The sequence below is a fragment of the Homo sapiens genome, chromosome X (genome assembly GCF_000001405.40).
Source record: "Homo sapiens chromosome X, GRCh38.p14 Primary Assembly".
Lineage (NCBI taxonomy): Eukaryota > Metazoa > Chordata > Mammalia > Primates > Hominidae > Homo > Homo sapiens.
This window is the reverse complement of record NC_000023.11, coordinates 72,619,849-72,637,564: the sequence shown is the minus strand read 5'-3', so window position 1 is coordinate 72,637,564 and position 17,716 is coordinate 72,619,849. Positions and strand designations below refer to the sequence as shown.

General features: G+C 35.8%; 1 protein-coding gene across 8 annotated transcripts in view; it reads left to right on the top strand.

Annotated features, from left to right (window-relative positions):
* Positions 1-17,716, top strand: part of PHKA1 (phosphorylase kinase regulatory subunit alpha 1) — a 135,493-nt gene that overhangs the window by 76,742 nt on the left and 41,035 nt on the right. For 5 of the 8 annotated variants that reach the window (NM_001440787.1, XM_047442160.1, NM_001122670.2 and 2 more), the window contains 5 exons: positions 1,179-1,288; positions 2,266-2,410; positions 10,516-10,594; positions 14,290-14,456; positions 16,664-16,840. In NM_001440787.1, the coding sequence (NP_001427716.1) occupies positions 1,179-1,288; positions 2,266-2,410; positions 10,516-10,594; positions 14,290-14,456; positions 16,664-16,840 (678 nt within the window). The remainder of the gene's footprint in view (positions 1-1,178; positions 1,289-2,265; positions 2,411-10,515; positions 10,595-14,289; positions 14,457-16,663; positions 16,841-17,716) is intronic. The other 3 variants (NM_001440788.1, NM_001172436.2, XM_006724661.3) reach the window with 1 other exon arrangement.

The window sequence follows — 17,716 nt, the reverse complement described above, 5'->3', positions numbered from 1 at the left end:
GTATATATCCAAAAGAAGTAAAAATAGGAACTTGAACATTTTCTACATCAATGTGCAGCATTGCCCACAATAGCCAAAAAGTGGAAACAACCCAAATGTCCATCAATGAATGGATAAACAATATGCAATGTATACACAAAATGTATACCCAAAATGGAATATTATTAAGCCTTAAAAAGGAAGGAGATTCTGACATATGCTACACATAGATGAACTTTGAAGACTATGCTAAATGAAATAAGCTAGTTACAAAAGGAAAGATATTGTATTATTCCATTTATATGAGATACCGAATTCATAGAGATACAAAGTAGAACAGTGGTTGCCAGAGGCTGGGAAGCAGAGGACATGAAAAGTTACTTACTGTTCAATAAATAGAGTTTCAGTCTGGGAAGATGAAAGAGTTTTGGAGATAGTTGGTGGTGATGTTTGCACAATGATGTAAATGTACTTAATGCCACTGAACTTAAGGTTATTAAAATGGTAAATGGTAAATTTTATGTTGTGTATATTTTGCAGTATTAAATAGAAACAAAAAGTAAGGAGTAGTGGGAAAACCTGGTTGTGACATCAATCTCAGGTAAAATGTGTGCTTTACTGCATGGACCCTGGAATATGACCAAGGCTTTAACAATTCTCTGATGCTAGCCCCCTAAGAGTAAAGCAACACTAAAACTGGCATATTTGATAAGTATAACACTTACGTAAAGCAAATGAAAAAAATTAAATTCCCAAGAAAAATGTGTTCTAGTCAAAAAAATAAAAAAGTAGTAGTCCTGTCAGTACTGACATGAAAGCATATTTAATACGTGTTTTGGGTAAAACAGTTTCAGAACAATATAAACAGTGTTATCCTATGATATAAAAGAAAAATGTGTGTGTGAATAAACTATTTTCTCATCGTAAGAGGTATTGATTTTATAACTCCCTTTTGGAAGACGAAAAGAAATTCAACTACATTTAACATAGATCTCAATTATAGGTTGGATTCCAATTTCAGAATGCTAAACTGTAAAAAGAAGACAATTTAAATTCAAGGAAATACAGTGGATGTGTGTGTGTGTCTATATGTATATACATACATTGTGTATGTGTGTGTATATATATATATGTAAAAATGTTTGCTGATTTGATTTGTGCTCTAGAAATATTTTTACCATTTCTCAATTCTGTATCAGGATGCAACAATAGAATGAAACTCAGTGGACGACCCTACAGACACATGGGAGTGCTTGGAACTTCAAAACTCTATGACATTCGGAAAACTATCTTTACTTTCACTCCACAGGTGGGTGAAATAAACTGGAATGTGCATTGAGATGAATGGAAATAAAAGAAAATCATTGGAGAAATAAAGCATTTACTGGAGTTGGGATAAGTGTCAAAGAGTTCCACCAGGCCTTGCACATAACTTACTCAGTTAATATTTATAGAGTTGAACTGAATTGAACTTCCAGCACAGAGTTTCACTAAGTGATTGTAACTGCCAAAAGTAACCCTGGGTATTGCAGAAACTAAGGATTTTACAAATGCTAGAGTACTTATAAAAGTAATCCTTACTTTTAAAAGTTAAAAATAAAACTGTATGTGTCCTTTATAAACAAAATACAACCTTTTTTATTCAGCTACTAAATTATGTTTTCTTTGTTTGGAGGAAGGGCCCTTTTTACATTCATAGAAATCTTCAGTATCCTCTTCTAAACAAAAATGTCGGTACTGTTTTAGCTGTTATTAAACACGTTGTTAGCCTGATGTTTATTAGCTACATGATAATAACAAACCTGATTGTATGTGTTTATGGGGAGGAGAAACTATTTTCTGGAAAGAAAGCTTAAACTCCCCATTTGTCATCTTACATTTGAAATAGTGCAGCTGAGGTAGGTATAAACAAAAGAGTAATGGATCATAGATTCTATTTCTGACTTTGTCATTTGCTAGCCATATGATTTCACTAATCCACGTATCATCTCTTAGCCTTATTTTTCATCTATTAAAAGAAGAAAAGCCCTCACTGGGGGGTTACAGGATTAAATAAAATTATATACTTAAAAATACTTCGTAAACTGCAGCATACCGTAAAAATGTCAGAAATTATTATATGTGCCAGTTAACCCCAGATACTTTGGAATGTATTAGACATTAAATGTGGGGGTATCATTGCCCTGTGACATCTTGGATACTCTTCTGAATATATGAGTAGTTTAAAATATTACTTGATAATTGTGAGAGTAAATTAATCTAATCTATTATTTTTATTTGTCTCAGTTTATAGACCAGCAACAGTTCTACCTGGCTCTGGACAACAAGATGATAGTGGAAATGCTTAGAACAGACCTCTCCTACCTCTGTAGCCGCTGGCGGATGACAGGCCAGCCCACCATCACCTTCCCCATCTCACACAGCATGCTTGGTAAGGGCTGCATGAGGCAAGGAACGAATGTATTTTGGAAATAAGTCATAGATTTAGCCCTTCAACATCTTGTTGTTTCTAGAGAGCTACTTCTTATAATTTATTCTTTCAGCAGTATTTATTGGCTCCTATTTTATGCCAAGCACTTTTCTAAGCACTGGGGACACATGGAGTGAATAAGGCAGATGAGGTTTCCGTTCTCATGGAGCTTATGCTTTAGAAGGTGAAGACAGACTATATGTAATACATAAATCAACATACAAGAGTAATTTCAGAGCTATAATTGAATAGTTTTCAGATAGTTTGAGAGCTATAATTCAAAAAATGTAGTGGAGGATAATTTAAAACTTGGTTGGTGGTTACTTTAGATAATTAGTTTCTAGGTCAATTTTCAGAAATTTTATTCATACAATTATTTTTAAAGACAGTAATACTGTATCTGCATATTTCTTACTCTAGTGGTACATCAAGATTTTATAGATAATTTCCCAGGCTGCTTCTTCCAAAGCCTAACGGAAGCTGTAAAATCTAGTAGGGGAAAAAGCCAAAAGGCTTTTGGCTTACGTTTCCTCTTTTTTTTTTTTTTTTGACTGGATTTCCTGACATTGCTTACTTGAAACTGGGTGAAAGGCTTTATTATTCTCTCAGTTCCTGGAGGACTAGAGCCAATACTGAAGCGACTGCTTCCTTTCTGTGTTTCTCCTGTTGCTTCCAAAGACCTGTTTGTACTGCCAAAGTATATAGAATTCCTTTTCATTAAAGAAAAATCCCTTATTATTAATCATTCAAAATCCAGACAGACTGTTAGGGATTTTGGTCACATCTCAAAAGTGCTTCAATATCACAGGATTTGAGGAAGTAGGGTAGTCTTTCTTCTCTTTGTCTTTCTTCATTACTTAAGACAGTTAACACAAGTACCCATTTAAAAACTACTATATTTGCAGAATTGTCTTCAGAAAGTATAAAGTCTAATTGGAGACGAAAAGCTAATATGCAAGAATGATAGAAACAACTTAAGACAATATATAAAGAATTACTAAACCATTAGGTCAGTATTTTACAGTGAAGGAGATCCAGTTGACAAAGAAAATTTCTCAACTGAGGTAGGACTTAACCAGGCTTTTTGGAATGGATAGTATTCAGATGACAGGAGAGCAGAAGGAAAGGTACTATAAGTGAGGAGGAAAATACCATGAGTGAGCCCTAGAGGCAAGAATGAACTTGACCTGTGAGAGGAGAATGAAGTTCTCCTGAATAGAGTGGAGTTTGTGTGTTGGAGTATAATTATAAGCAAAATGGGAAAAGTAAGGTAGGGTTCAATAATGAAGACCTTGAAAATAAGCAAAGATATTTAATATAGATTTTTCTCAGAAGTCTGAAACTATCAAAAGGTTTTGAGCAAGGAGTAATATGATAAAAATGATGTTTGGGGACTATTGGTGACAGTACACATTGTAGTGAGGAGAGACTGATGTCAAAGAAACTAATCCACATATGAGGTGAAGAGAAAGTACACTGGATTGGAGGTAATAAAAGTAGAATGAAAAAGAAAGATATGAGTCATTTTAAGCAACACCCAACTCAGATATTGGATAACTAGATATAAGGTATGAATTAAGATAGCTATAACAAAATACCAAAAAGTTGGTAATTTATAAACAATAGAATTTTATTTTGTACTATTCTGGGAGCTAGGAAGTCCAAGATCAAGGTGCTGACAGGTTTGGTGTCTGGGAAGGACCTGAAGTCTCTCCTTCTAAGATGGTGCCTTGTTGCTTCATCCTCTGCAGCAGACACACATGTGTTCTTACATTGTAGAAGGGACAGAAAAGAAGCAAACCCACTCTCTTAAGCCCTTTTATAAGGGCCCCGATCCCATCCATGATGGCTGCACACTCATGACTTAATCACACTAGATGGCCTACTTCTTAATGCTATCACATTGGTGATTAAGTTTCAACAAACGAATTTGGGGGCACATTCAGATCATAGCACTAGGTAAATGTTGCTGCATTGATAGAATCAGAGACATTTTATATGAAGAAGCCAGTTATAAAGGGACATGAATTTGTAGTGACAAAGAGATTTCAGAATTGAAATACCTGAGAGTTGGGATGAGATACATAGCCACAGCTTGGGAAGCAGAATAAAACTAAAGATCTAGGCTTAAATCAAGCATTTTTGGTACTTGATATGTGGTCACATAACAAAAACAACAATAACAATAGCAATAATAACTGTAATATTTACTGAATACTTTCTCTGTGCCAGGCACTGAGCTAAGTGTTTTCAATTAATTATTTTGAAATCTCTACAACACTCTTATTCAGGCAGGTACTCATTATCCAAAGTCACAAAGCTAGTAAGTGACAGAGCCAGGCCTCAAACAAGATCTTTCAGTCCCTGCAACATTACCAACAACAGTGTGTTTTTGCCAGTGAAAATTTTGTGCTGCTGAAAAGAGAATAAACATTAGTGATCACATTGAAATGTGGATTAGTTAAATTCTCATATTACAGACAAAGATTCCTGTAATACATAAAAGAGCAAAAATAATACATAAATGGCATCCAGGTGGATGCTATTTACAATAGATATCCCTAAAATAAAATCATAAAAAAAGATGGAAGAAAAGAATATGTAAAGATATATCATGTAAATGCTGACAAGAAAGCAGTGGTCGCAGTATTAATATCAAAAATAGCAAATAAAATTCAAGGCAAAAATCAGTAAATGGGATAAGAAGGATATTTTATATTGATAAATAGTACACCAACATGATATAACATATATAAAATTTTATGTACTCAATAATGTGAATTAAATGTATAAAGCAAGTATTTAAGAAAACTTAGGGACAATATCACAAAACTATTATATATTCATGATGGGAAACAACAACATACTTCTATCAGAATGTCACAGATCAATTATACAAAATAATTAAAGACATAGAGGAGTAACAAACTTGATTTTTGTATTTATGGGTGTATATATAACTATGTATCCAAAAAGGCAGAACACACAAAGAATGTTTATGGTTAAAAAGTAGAAATCATACAAACGATATTGCCAGATACGTGACATAAAACTAATTAACACAGAATAGTTAAAAAGAATCTAACTATAAAGGAATTATATTTTTTCCCAAATAATTATTAGATTAAAGAGAAAGTCAAATTTGAAATTATATGCTTCTTAGAAATGAAAAATGATACCACTACTTATAATTTATGAGATTTGGTCAAAATCATATTTAGAAAATTTCATATCCTTAAATACTTCTACTTTTAAAAAGTGACTTTTAGTTTTGAGACAAGATGGCATAGACTCACTTCTCCCTATTCCTCCTGCTAAGTGCAGCTAAAAATCCTTGACATATATAAAACAAACATAAGAAAACTCTGAAAGTTGGAAACCAGGCAGATCAGCTAGAGACTTTAAGACCTGAAGAACAGCAGAGCAGTAAATATCCTGGGCCTTATATGTCCTGGACTGGAAGCTAGAGAAGCTGACATCTCAGAAATACAAAAAGAAAAAAAAAAAAGGAAAAACAGGTTTTTTTAAAGACCCAAGGAAAATCTGCTTTGTCTAGCTGAAGGAACAGGAAAGGAGCAACCTAGAGAGACAGAAAACTTTTAGACCCTATTTTACTAGGCCCCACTTATGCCCCTGTCAGCAGAGACTGAGTGGGGACTCTAGACTTCCACGCTTGCACAGCTCTGAAGAGGCATCCCTCTCCCTCTTAGGAGTAGTATCAGAGAAGGGCTAGTGGGGAGCTTAAACTTTCATCCTCGCCCAAAAGTAGAGGAGCTCCTCCCCCTTCAGCCAGTGTGGTGTCAGTGATCAACAGATATCAACAAATGTTGGTGTTATCATGCAAAGATTTTAAGACAGTTATCATAAAAACACTTTAACACACAATTACAATCACACTTGAAACTAATGACAAAGTAGAATGTAAGTCTTAGCAAAGAAACTGAAAATACAAAGAACTGAATGGAAGTTTTAGGACTGAAAAATATAATAACTGAGATGGACAACTCACTAGATAGGCCCAGTAGCAGAATGGAGACAACAGAGTGAAGTTGAATACAGAACTGTAGAAATCACCCATTCTGAACAACACAGTAAAAAAAAAAAAAAAAAAAAAAACCTGAAAAAATATGAACAGAGCCTCAAAGACCTGTAGGACTAATAACAAAAGATTTAACATTTTTTAACATTCACGTTAAAAAGATCTAACATTCATGTTATAAAAGTTTCAGAAAGAGGAGAAAAAGTATGAGAGAAAATCAGAAAAAGCATTCCAACTAATAATGACTGAAAAATTGGTAAAAGACATAAACCTACAAATTTTTTAAAAAATGAGAAAATCTTAAACATGGTAAAATCCATGTCAAAACACATAATAATAAAGTTCTTGAACATTAAAGAAGAAATATCTTGAAAGTGGCCAGAAAGAAACAATACCATTTCTATAAGCAACAAACAGAATGACAGCAAATTTATCATCAGAAACCATGGACACCAGAGGGAAGTGACACAACATTTTTTAAGTACTGAAAAAAAAAAGAATTTTAAACCAAGAATTTTGCCCTATCCAGTGTACTTCAAGAATAAAAGGAAAAAAGACATTCTCAGATGTAGGAAAGCTAAGTGAATTTGTCAGCAGGAGATCTGCCCTAAAAGAATGGTTTGAAGAAAGTTCTTGAAACAGAAAGGAAATAATAATAGATGGAATCTTGAAACATCAAAAAGAAAAAATAAAAATAGGAGTGAAAATATGAGTAAATACAATAGACTTTCTCCACTTCAATTTTCCCTTTCTTTCTCTCTCTCTCTCTCTCTCTCTCTCCCCCACCCCCGCTCTTTTTCTTTTTCTTTTTCTTTTTCTTTTTCTTTTTCAGAGTCTCTCTCTGTCACCCAGCCTGGAGTGCAATGGCACAATCTCAGCTCACTGCAATCTCCAGCTTCCGGGTTCAAGTGATTCTCCTACCTCAGCCTCCCCAGTAGCTGGGATTACAGGCATGCACCACCATGCCCGGCTAAGTTTTTGTATTTTTTTTAGTAGAGACGGGGTTTCGCCATGTTGGCCAGGCTGGTCCCGAACTCCTTCCACTTCAATTTTCTAAATTATGCTTGATAAGCATTGCTTAATATAGTTCTCAAAGTATGTAGAAGAAATATTCAAGGCAAGTATATTATAAATGGGGAAAAGTAAGGACCTTAATGGGAGATAAGATTCTATACATCACTTTAATTGGTATAATGTTGACACTAGTAAAGAGTGATATATGCATCATGTTTGTATATATAAGACAATGCCTGGAGTAACCACTAAGAAACCTATAGAAGGAGATAACAGTCAAACCCAGTATAGGTAAATCAAAATGGCATTCTAAAAAATGTAAAAGTAACCCATAAGAAGGCAGGAAGAAGAAAATAGACAAATGAAGAACAGAGGTACAAATAGAAAACAATAAAATGGCAAACTTAATCCTAACATATCAATAATTACTTTAAATAGCCTAAATACATCAGTTCAAATATCACAATATACGTAGACTGAAAAGAAAAGGAAGGAAAAAGATATACCATGTAAACATTAATTTTAAAAAGCAGAAGTAGCTACATTAATATCTGGTAAAGTAGAACTCAGAGTAAAGAAAAAAACAGGTAGTAAAAGTGTTAGGAAAGACAAAGGAGATATAGCAACAGAAATAGAGGAGACTTTAAACACTGTAAAAGAATACCAACTACAATTTTGTACATCTAGATAAAATTGACAGATTTTCTAGAAAAGTAAGAATACAAGTATAAGCTGAATAGGAACACTTATAAAAGTGTATGAGAAAAACTATAAAACTATTGAAGACAATAAAATATTTTAATTAGTAGAGAGGTACACCATGTTCCTAGACATAAATAGTTAATATTGAGAAATTACCCACTTTCATTATATCAATTCAGGCAATTCCCAATAATAATAAAAACATAAATTTTTATGAACAAGCTGAACCTTGATTTCATATGTAAGAGAAAATGTAAATGAATAACCAGATTTTTAAAAAGAAAGTGAAAGATCCATTGTAATTAAAACAATGATGAAGATAGAATTTCAAATAGAGACAAAATTTAATATAAATACATTTGGGAAAATAATTCATTTAGGCTTGCTACTTTACTTTTTTTGCAAAAATACATTCTAAATAGATTAAAGAGCTAAACATAAACAATAAACCTGTGAGAGTCTTAGAAAAAAATATGGGAGGTTGGGCAGGGTGGCTCAAACCTATAATCCCAGCACTTTGGGAGGCTGAGGCGGGAGGATACTTGAGGTCAGGAGTTTGAGAGCAGCCTGGCCAACATGGTGAAACCCCATCTCTACTAAAAATACAGCCAGGTGTGGTGGCACGCGCCTGTAGTCCCAGTTACTTGGGAGGCTGAGGCAGGAGAATCACTTGAACCCGGGAGGCGGAGGTTGCAGTGAGCCGAGATTGCACCACTGCACTCCAGCCTGCATGACAGAGGCAGACTCCATTTGAAAAAAAAAAATATATATATATATATTTATATGGGAATATATATATATATATATATGGGAATATTTTTGTTATCTTAGGTTGAAGAGAGCTGTCCTTTGCAAGACACAAAAATAAAATATTGTCAGATTTTGAAACATGAAAATGAAATCTTTTATATCAAAAGCACTGTGGATGCGGTTGAAAGAAAAATAATAAACTAGATAAAGTATTTGTCATACATATGAGAGCGAAAAGGGTAATATCCACAAAACACGAAAAACTCTTGAAAGTCAATTGAAAAAAGATAAACTACCTAATGGAAAAATGGGAAAAGGACATGATCAGGCAATTCATAAAAGAAATACAGATTTTTAGTAAATACATGAAAATATGCATAATCTTATTGGCAATAAAATTAAAACAATATCTTCTTGTTTTACCTATCAGATTAAGAAAAATTTAAAAGATTATTGCCCATTGTTGTTAAAAGTGTAGGAAAGGCCTGGCGCGGTGGCTCACGCCTGTAATCCCAGCACTGTGGGAGGCCGAGGCAGGTGGATCACGAAATCAGGAGATTGAGACCATCCTGGCTAACACAGTGAAACCCCGTCTCTACTAAAAAAAACAAAAAAAATACAAAAAATTAGCCAGGCGTGGTGGCGGGCGCCTGTAGTCCCAGCTACTCGGGAGGCTGAGGCCGGAGAATGGCGTGAACCCGGGAGGCGGAGCTTGCAGTGAGCCGAGATCAAGCCATTGCACCCCAGCCTAGGTAACAGAGCGAGACTCTGTCTCAAAAAAAAAAAAAAAAAAAAAAAAGTGTAGGAAAAAGTCTTTCTATACTGTTGGTGGAAATATAATTGGCACAACTCTTATAGTGGGTAATTTGGCAGTCTCTGTAAATTTACTTAGTAAGTGTTTCATTTGTCCTAATAGTTCTACTTGTAAGAATTTAACCTAAGGATATAATAGAATAAGTGCATCAAGATGTAGGTACAATGGTCTTCATTACAGTGTTGATTATAATATAAAACAGTCTAAATTTAGTAAGAATTATTTTTAGCTATTACAAAGGTAAAGTTAGAAAGCAGATCATGAAAGAGTATATGTAGTATGATTACTTCCACATAAAATCAGGTAATTGTTAGCTTTCTAGATATTTTTTATGCCTATACACAGACATATGTGCCAAGGTTCTTTATATGAGATAATGTGTATAAAATGTTTAGCACAGTGCTTGGCACATAACATTCAACAAGTAGTGGCTACTGGTATTATCAGCATTCAGTAGTCATTCAGTGTTCTGCCATCAGACACTGTGCTAAGTACTTCTGACAAATAAGATAATGCTGACAAATAAGATAATGCCTTTGAGGAAATCTATCAGTCATCATCCCTTACCATTTACCCATTCTTAAGTGTTGTTGGCTCTCAGATGAATTGTTAAAATCAGGATGGTCAATGAGGAGTGTCTCATTTGTATTGTAACCACCAGAATGTTGATTTGAAATAATTACAAGATTTCTCCCTACTTCAGAGTTAAAACCACAAAGATTGTTTTAAAATTCTGTTCATTTCAAGATGAAGATGGAACAAGCTTGAATTCAAGTATCCTGGCAGCACTCCGAAAAATGCAAGATGGGTATTTTGGTGGGGCAAGGTAAGTGACCTCTATACACTCTTTAGTGAAATGAAATGAAATTAAGGGGCTGGATATAGTAGTGGCATACCTGTGATGCCTTTCTGTGTATGATAGTCCCCCCTTATCTACAATTTGACTCCGATATTTCAGTTACCCGTGGTCAACCTGTAGTCTGCAAATAGGTGAGTACAGTACAATAAGATATTTTGAGACAGAGAGAGAGACTACGTTCACATAACTTTTATTATAGTATATTGTTATAATTGTTCTATTTCATTATTATTTTGAGCTCTTACTATGCTTAATTTATAAATTAAACTATATCATAGGTATGTATGTATAAGAAAAAACACAGTATATATATAAGGTTCAGTACTATCTGCAGTTTCAGGAATCCACAAGGGGGTCTTGGAACATATCCTGCAGGAGTAAGCGGGGGCTAACTGTATCTTCGATAACATAATCCCATCCTACTTAGAGGAGTTTGATAGATTGAATCAAGGAATTTAATGTTGTAGAGGAAGGTTGGAAGTTTTTCCTACCCTGTTCTTTGCCTAGATCTCAAAGGATCAGAAAACCTGTTTTGTTTTGTTTTTTTAATGCCTACTGGATTATTTGATTCCAGCTGCTTTTCTTTTCTTTTTCCACTTAAGTTTTTATTTTGAAAAATTTCCAGCTTACAGAAATTTGCAAGAATACTACTGAACACCCATATACCCTTTCTCAAGATTCACCTGTTATTAACATTTTGTCCCACTGTGCATTCTCTATTTCTTCCCTTCCCTCCCTTCCTGCCTTTCCCCCCTTCCTTTCTCTCTTCCTCCCTACATCCTCCCATACACATACATATGCATATACACACACACACGTACATACTACATATACTATGTGTTTTATATATATATACATATATATACACACATGTACACACATGCTTTTTTGCTAAAATAATTAGCCATAGACATCATAACTCTTCAACCCTAAATACTTAAGTTTTCTTTGTTTTGTCTAGGAACAAGTGCATTCTTACATATAACTATAATATAATCATCACACTTAGTTTGGGAGGCCAAGGGGGGCAGATCACTTGAAGCCAGGAGTTCAAGACCAGCCTGGCCAACATGGCAAAAACCTCTCTCTACAAAAAATACAAAAATTAGCCAGGCGTGTTGGTGCATACCTGTAATCCTAGCTACTTGGGAGGCTGAGACATGAGAATCTCTTGAACCTGGGAGGCGGAAGTTGCAGTGAGCCAGGATTGTGCCACTGCACTCCAGCCTGGGAGACTGTGGAAAGCAGTTTGGAGATTTCTCAAACAACTTAAAATAGAACTACCATTCTACCCTGCAATCCCATTACTGGATATATATCCAAAAGAATATAAATCATTATACCATAGAGACACATGCATATGTTCATCACAGCACTAGACACAATAGCAAAGATAAAGATGGGCATCAACCTAGATGCCCACCTATGGTGGACTTGTTAAAGGAAATGTGGTATATAATGCACCATGGAATACTACAGTGCCATAAAAAAGAACAAAATCATGTCCTTTGCAGCAACATGAATTCATATAGAGGCCATTATCCTAAGCAAATTAACACAGGAACAGAAAACCAAATACCACATACCACATGTTCTCTCTTATAAGTGGGAACTAAACATTGAGTAGACATGGACACAAAAAAGGAAACAATAGACACCAGGACCTTCTTGAGGATGGAGGGCGAGAGGTAGGTGAGGATTGCAAACTACCTATTGGATACTGTGCTTACTATGGGTGATGAAATAGTTTGTACACCAAACCCCTGTGACATGCAGTTTACCCATGTAACAAATCTGCACATGTACCCCTGAGCCTAAAATTAAAGTTGGAAATAAATAAATAAATAAAGTAGAAGGAGAAATAAGAACAGTTACCCAATTATCCCAATAATGTTTTATCATAGCTGTTTTCCCACCAATCCAGGATCCAATCAAAGATCACATGTTAGCAGTTAGTTGTTATATCTCTTTGGTATCTTTTAATCTAGAAGAGTTCTCCAGCCTTTTGTCAATCTTTCATGAGAGTTTTCATTACATTTTTGAAGAATGCAGGTCAGTTATTTTGCAGAACATCTCACAATTTGGATTTGGCTGGTTGTTTCTCATTATTAGATTCAGGCTACATGTTTTTGGCAGGAATACTACCTGTGTGATGTTGGGTCCTTGTTTTAAGTTAGGATCTTTAAGATGGAGAGCACCCCTTCAATGGTTAGGAGAGGCACAAGATGGAAATAAAGATTTTATTACTTACAGGTCCTGCAGGTGAGGTACACAGAATACCTGGAGGCCACACACACTGAGGTCAGGGAGCATGTGGAGAGAGAAAAAGAGAGACCCATGGGCCAATGCCTTTATTGAGGTCCAGGGCATTATCCAAACAGATATTCCTTGGGGAGTTTTAATTGGTGGGTTTAAAGCAAGTAGGCATGACTTCCTGGAGGTCACACTGTGACTGAGAGGTGGTCACTGTGGCATATTGGCATAGTTCATGTAGGATGTGAGGATCAGTGAGGCTAGTCAAATAGATCATATTTAGCTGTCCCTTAGGGAGGTGGTTACCAGGAGGAAGTTGTATAAGGCAGATATGTGGACTGACCACAGTGAGGAACTGAGGGAGGTGTAGAACTGGAAACTGTCAAAGATTCCTGAACTCTGCTTCTGGTATGAGAAAGTTAAGCTTATATTCAAAAGAGATGCCAGGGAAACATACAATTATAAGAATTTACTACAGTCTCTTTCAGTGCATCATATCAGAGGCACATGAGATTTGTTTGTGACATTATTGGGTGATGATAACCTTGATCACTTGGTTAAAGTGTTCAACCTGGTATCTGCCAGGTTTCTGCATATCCTTTCTCCAACAGTCTTTGATCAAATCGTATTAGCTTCCGTTGATCCTTGCGTGAATTCACTTATTACTATTGGAGTTATTAAATGGTGTTTCTATCATTCTGTGTACATTTATTGGTTGAAATTCTTATGTTAAAAAAAAGAGCTTTCCCTTCCCCCCTTTTATTTTGTAGTTTAGTATCAGCACAGATTCATAGATTATTATTTTATTCAATATGCCATGATCCATTTCTGTTATTATTTCAATATTTTAATTATCCAAGGTGTGGCCATTGATAGCCCCTTCAAGTTGGCCTCTTTAGAAATTTGGTAATGCTGACTTTGCTTTTGGGTTTTGTAATTGTCTTCATAAGTAGGAGACGATATGGCTTACAGTCTACTATAATTTACAGAATTGTCAAGTACCATCCTTTATGTTCAAATGACCTTTGGGTATTTTTTTAATGAAGTGATGGGTTTGTGATGATTTATCTTCATTCTCTCCAGGCTTCTCCAGTAGCCAATGCAAATTTTTACCAGATGTTTGGCATAGTTAGCAACGTAATATATGGCAGTAGAAGAGAGCAAAACTGGTCTGCTGGTGGATTGTTAATCCATAATTGTAACCTTTATTAATACAGTCCCCTAACCATTTAAGATGTACACCATGCCTAGGAGTGCTGTAAAATTTTATTTTTATAAAATTTATATTAATGTATGCACATTAGTAATCCCCCAACAAAACATGTTAGGTGTCCTTTTATCACTAAGATTGTGTTGTTTAAAAAGGATCACCCCTGATTTTCTGTTTTCTATCCTCCTCTAATTTTTAGGGTTCAAACAGGTAAATTGTCAGAGTTTTTGACAACATCTTGTTGCACACACTTGAGCTTCATGGACCCTGGACCTGAGGGTAAGCTGTACAGTGAAGATTATGATGACAACTATGATTACCTGGAATCTGGCAACTGGATGAATGATTATGATTCAACCAGTCATGGTAAGGAGGCTTCATAAAGCACTGGCCTGGCTGGACAAAACTACAAAATATTGTTTAGCACCATCCTTAATAATTTATGCTGCCAGCAGTCTCACAGTGTTCTATCCTCACTCTAGATCTCTACTTTTGTTTGGCTTTACTTTTCCTCCCTCTACTTACCTTTGGTTTCTGGTCTAATATTCCTGCGGTAATTGTGGAGTATGGAGTTGGACAGTCCCTTACTAAGATTGGGGAAGATTCCTCTCCCAGGCATTTGAAGTGGCTGGTGATTTTGACATGGGAAGAAGCAGTGGTGAGTGAGAGATGATTAATCAAGTATGAAGTAGGAAAATAATACATATACAGTACTGCTTTTTGACATTAAAAAGCATAAAAATATGAAATTTAATTAGAGTCCTTTTCATATAATATTAGAGGAGCATATCGGAATCTCTGGGGAGGTCTGTGTAGTTTGAAAAAGCCTATTCAGTATGTCTGTTATTTTCATAGTACAAACTAGGCAAATACAACTAAGTCAAACTCTAATTGGCTTCTAGCAATACAAAGGTGATATAGTGAGAAAGCATTGCAGGGGCATGCATTGAAAGTGACTGAGCAACACTACCCTACAGTGTTAAAATACTGACTTAGGCAGAGCAGGCATTATGTTGCTTGAATTTCATACAGAGAAGGGCCAATAAGAAAGAATTATTTGTCTAGCCCTCTAAAATATGATTTGCCTGCTTTCATTGTCTGGGTATTTGACTGTTAGCCTGTATCTTAAGGCAGCCAATTTCTTTATCTTAAGAGTGGTATGTTGGAGAAAAGAAAAAAATAAATTTGCTGCCCTCAGTGAGGTCAGCCAGCACAATCTCATACAATAGGACAACACATTAGCAGTCAGAAGGACTATTTTCTTTTTTGGGCCCGACATTTACTCACTAAGCACCACTTCATTCATTCTGTGTTTGTTTTTGTAAGATCTAAAACAGTTGAATTTCTTTGTTGGAAAAGTACATTAAATACAAGGCTATTTACTGTTATCAGTAATAACAAAAGTCATGATGTCTTGGCATAAAATACTTTGAAAATTAAATGAGAAGATCATATATTGAGATTGTTTGCTCTTCTATGGGTAGTTGTGATTTTTATCTGTAGTACTCATTCCATTGGATTACTAAAATATATATTTCTAATGATACGTGTTACTGAATTTGACATTATGGCATTCTGAGTCACTTTCCTAGTTCCGGGTTTACTCATCAGTGTTCTCAAAATGAATGTATTTATTGCTTGCCAGCCCTTCTGTGGGTAAAGAGCTTCTCTCCATATTCTTCATAATCCTCCACTCAAGTCTCTAGATTGTATTCAAGGTTACAATCTTTGTCATTAGGATGTCACTGAATATGAGCTCCATTCTTACAGCTCTACTAGTTCGCATTAGTCACATCAGAGCACAGAAAGACATCTGGAGAGATCAGTAAATATCATCAAAAACCAGAAGACTCATGACTGATACAGCAGACTTTGGTATCGATCTGAATAGTGTGTTTTTCTAACTATAAACCTTGTGAATATTCATGTAAAGTCTGAAATATTAAGCTTCCACAGGATATATGTATGTTTTTCTTTCCATTACCCATACTCAGAGATAATGTTATAGAAGGTATATGGGAGAAGGGGAGCCCAAGAAGATAGGGACCATATCCATCCTCTTCACCACTGAAATGTCAGCACCTAGTACACTGCCTGGTACATAGCAGCCAACAAATATTTGCTGAGTAAACAAACGAGGTGACTAAGAAGATTTTTGCCCTTTCCTGGCCCTTCCTCACCAAAGTCCCCTCACATTAGTGTGACCTGAAGCTCCCTGTTCTGTTCCTCCTCCATCCCTGCCACCATTACTATCACATGCACACACACAAATACACAGATTGCTAAATGCTTGCTCCAATGTAAAACAAGCTCATACTGCTTTCAAGAACCCTGACCTTGTCTCAGCAAGTTGAAGAGGAGGTGGATCCTAGTAAATGGCCATGGTCACTGGATCTTAAAGTGATGAGGTTATATCATGATCACAAGCTTTTCCTCCATGAGCTAAAAACAACCTACTTCTGGTGCTGTGTTGTGAGCACAGGAGCCAATCATTCTCTTTGCTGGGGTAGATTGTAAAGTAACTAAAATATTTTCATTCTTTTCTCTTCCCCCTCCCCCCACTAACCTTGCAGCTCGCTGTGGTGATGAAGTTGCTCGTTATTTAGATCACCTTTTGGCGCACACTGCTCCCCATCCTAAACTAGCCCCTACCTCACAGAAGGGAGGGCTAGATCGGTTCCAAGCTGCTGTGCAAACAACCTGCGACTTAATGTCCTTGGTGACCAAGGCCAAGGAACTGCATGTACAGAGTGAGTAATGCCGTGACTCACCAGAGTCAGGCACAGGATGACGTGAAGCCCAGGATAGGGGCGGGCATTGATTACAATGTAAGCAGGAACTTTAGTTTTCTTCACTGCTTTATCCCCCGCATCTCAGACAGCACCTAGAACATATTAGACACTCAAATATTTGTAAAATGAGTGAATTGTGTATAGTTATGCTGCAGGTAGTGCTATGTAGTCTGGTTTAACTGGTAACATGGTAAGAAGAGGCAGAACAAGAGACATGGAGCATATTCAACTATAACATTAAAGTTTGAAATGGTAGAAAGGGTTTTTCCTTTGGGAAAATTACTTCTATGGAATTTTCTTGTTGTTCCAGCAATGTAGAGCTGTTTTGTCAAATATAATACTCATTCTTTACAACTTTGCCATTCTTCTCCCCATGGCCACTACCCTCCTTCAGTTGTATTCACAGTGGAGGGTGTCTTCTGCCACACATTGCCAGGAGTAGTCATAGTTCCTAAGAGTGTTCAATGTCTTTATAGTAGCTGGATATGAAAGGAGAGAAGGGCTCCTTGGCCACACCTAGAAGACCTGAATGTTAACATTTTACAGATGAGGAGAATGACTGAGATGCATGCTCTTGCTGTCTAAAACTTTATTGACCATTACTAACCAAATACATTAAACATGAACATTGGGAATCATTTAACATTTATAATAGGGAAAAGCTCAGCATACCCTCTGAGTATGCTTCCTCGAGAAAGGGCTTATATGAAGAGATGAAATTTATTGTTATACTTCTCAATTGTGAACCAGAAAACTTGGGCTTAATTCCCAGCTCTGCTACTTACTTGCTTGAACAGTTATTTGAGCTCTGTATCTCTCTTTCTGTATCTGTAA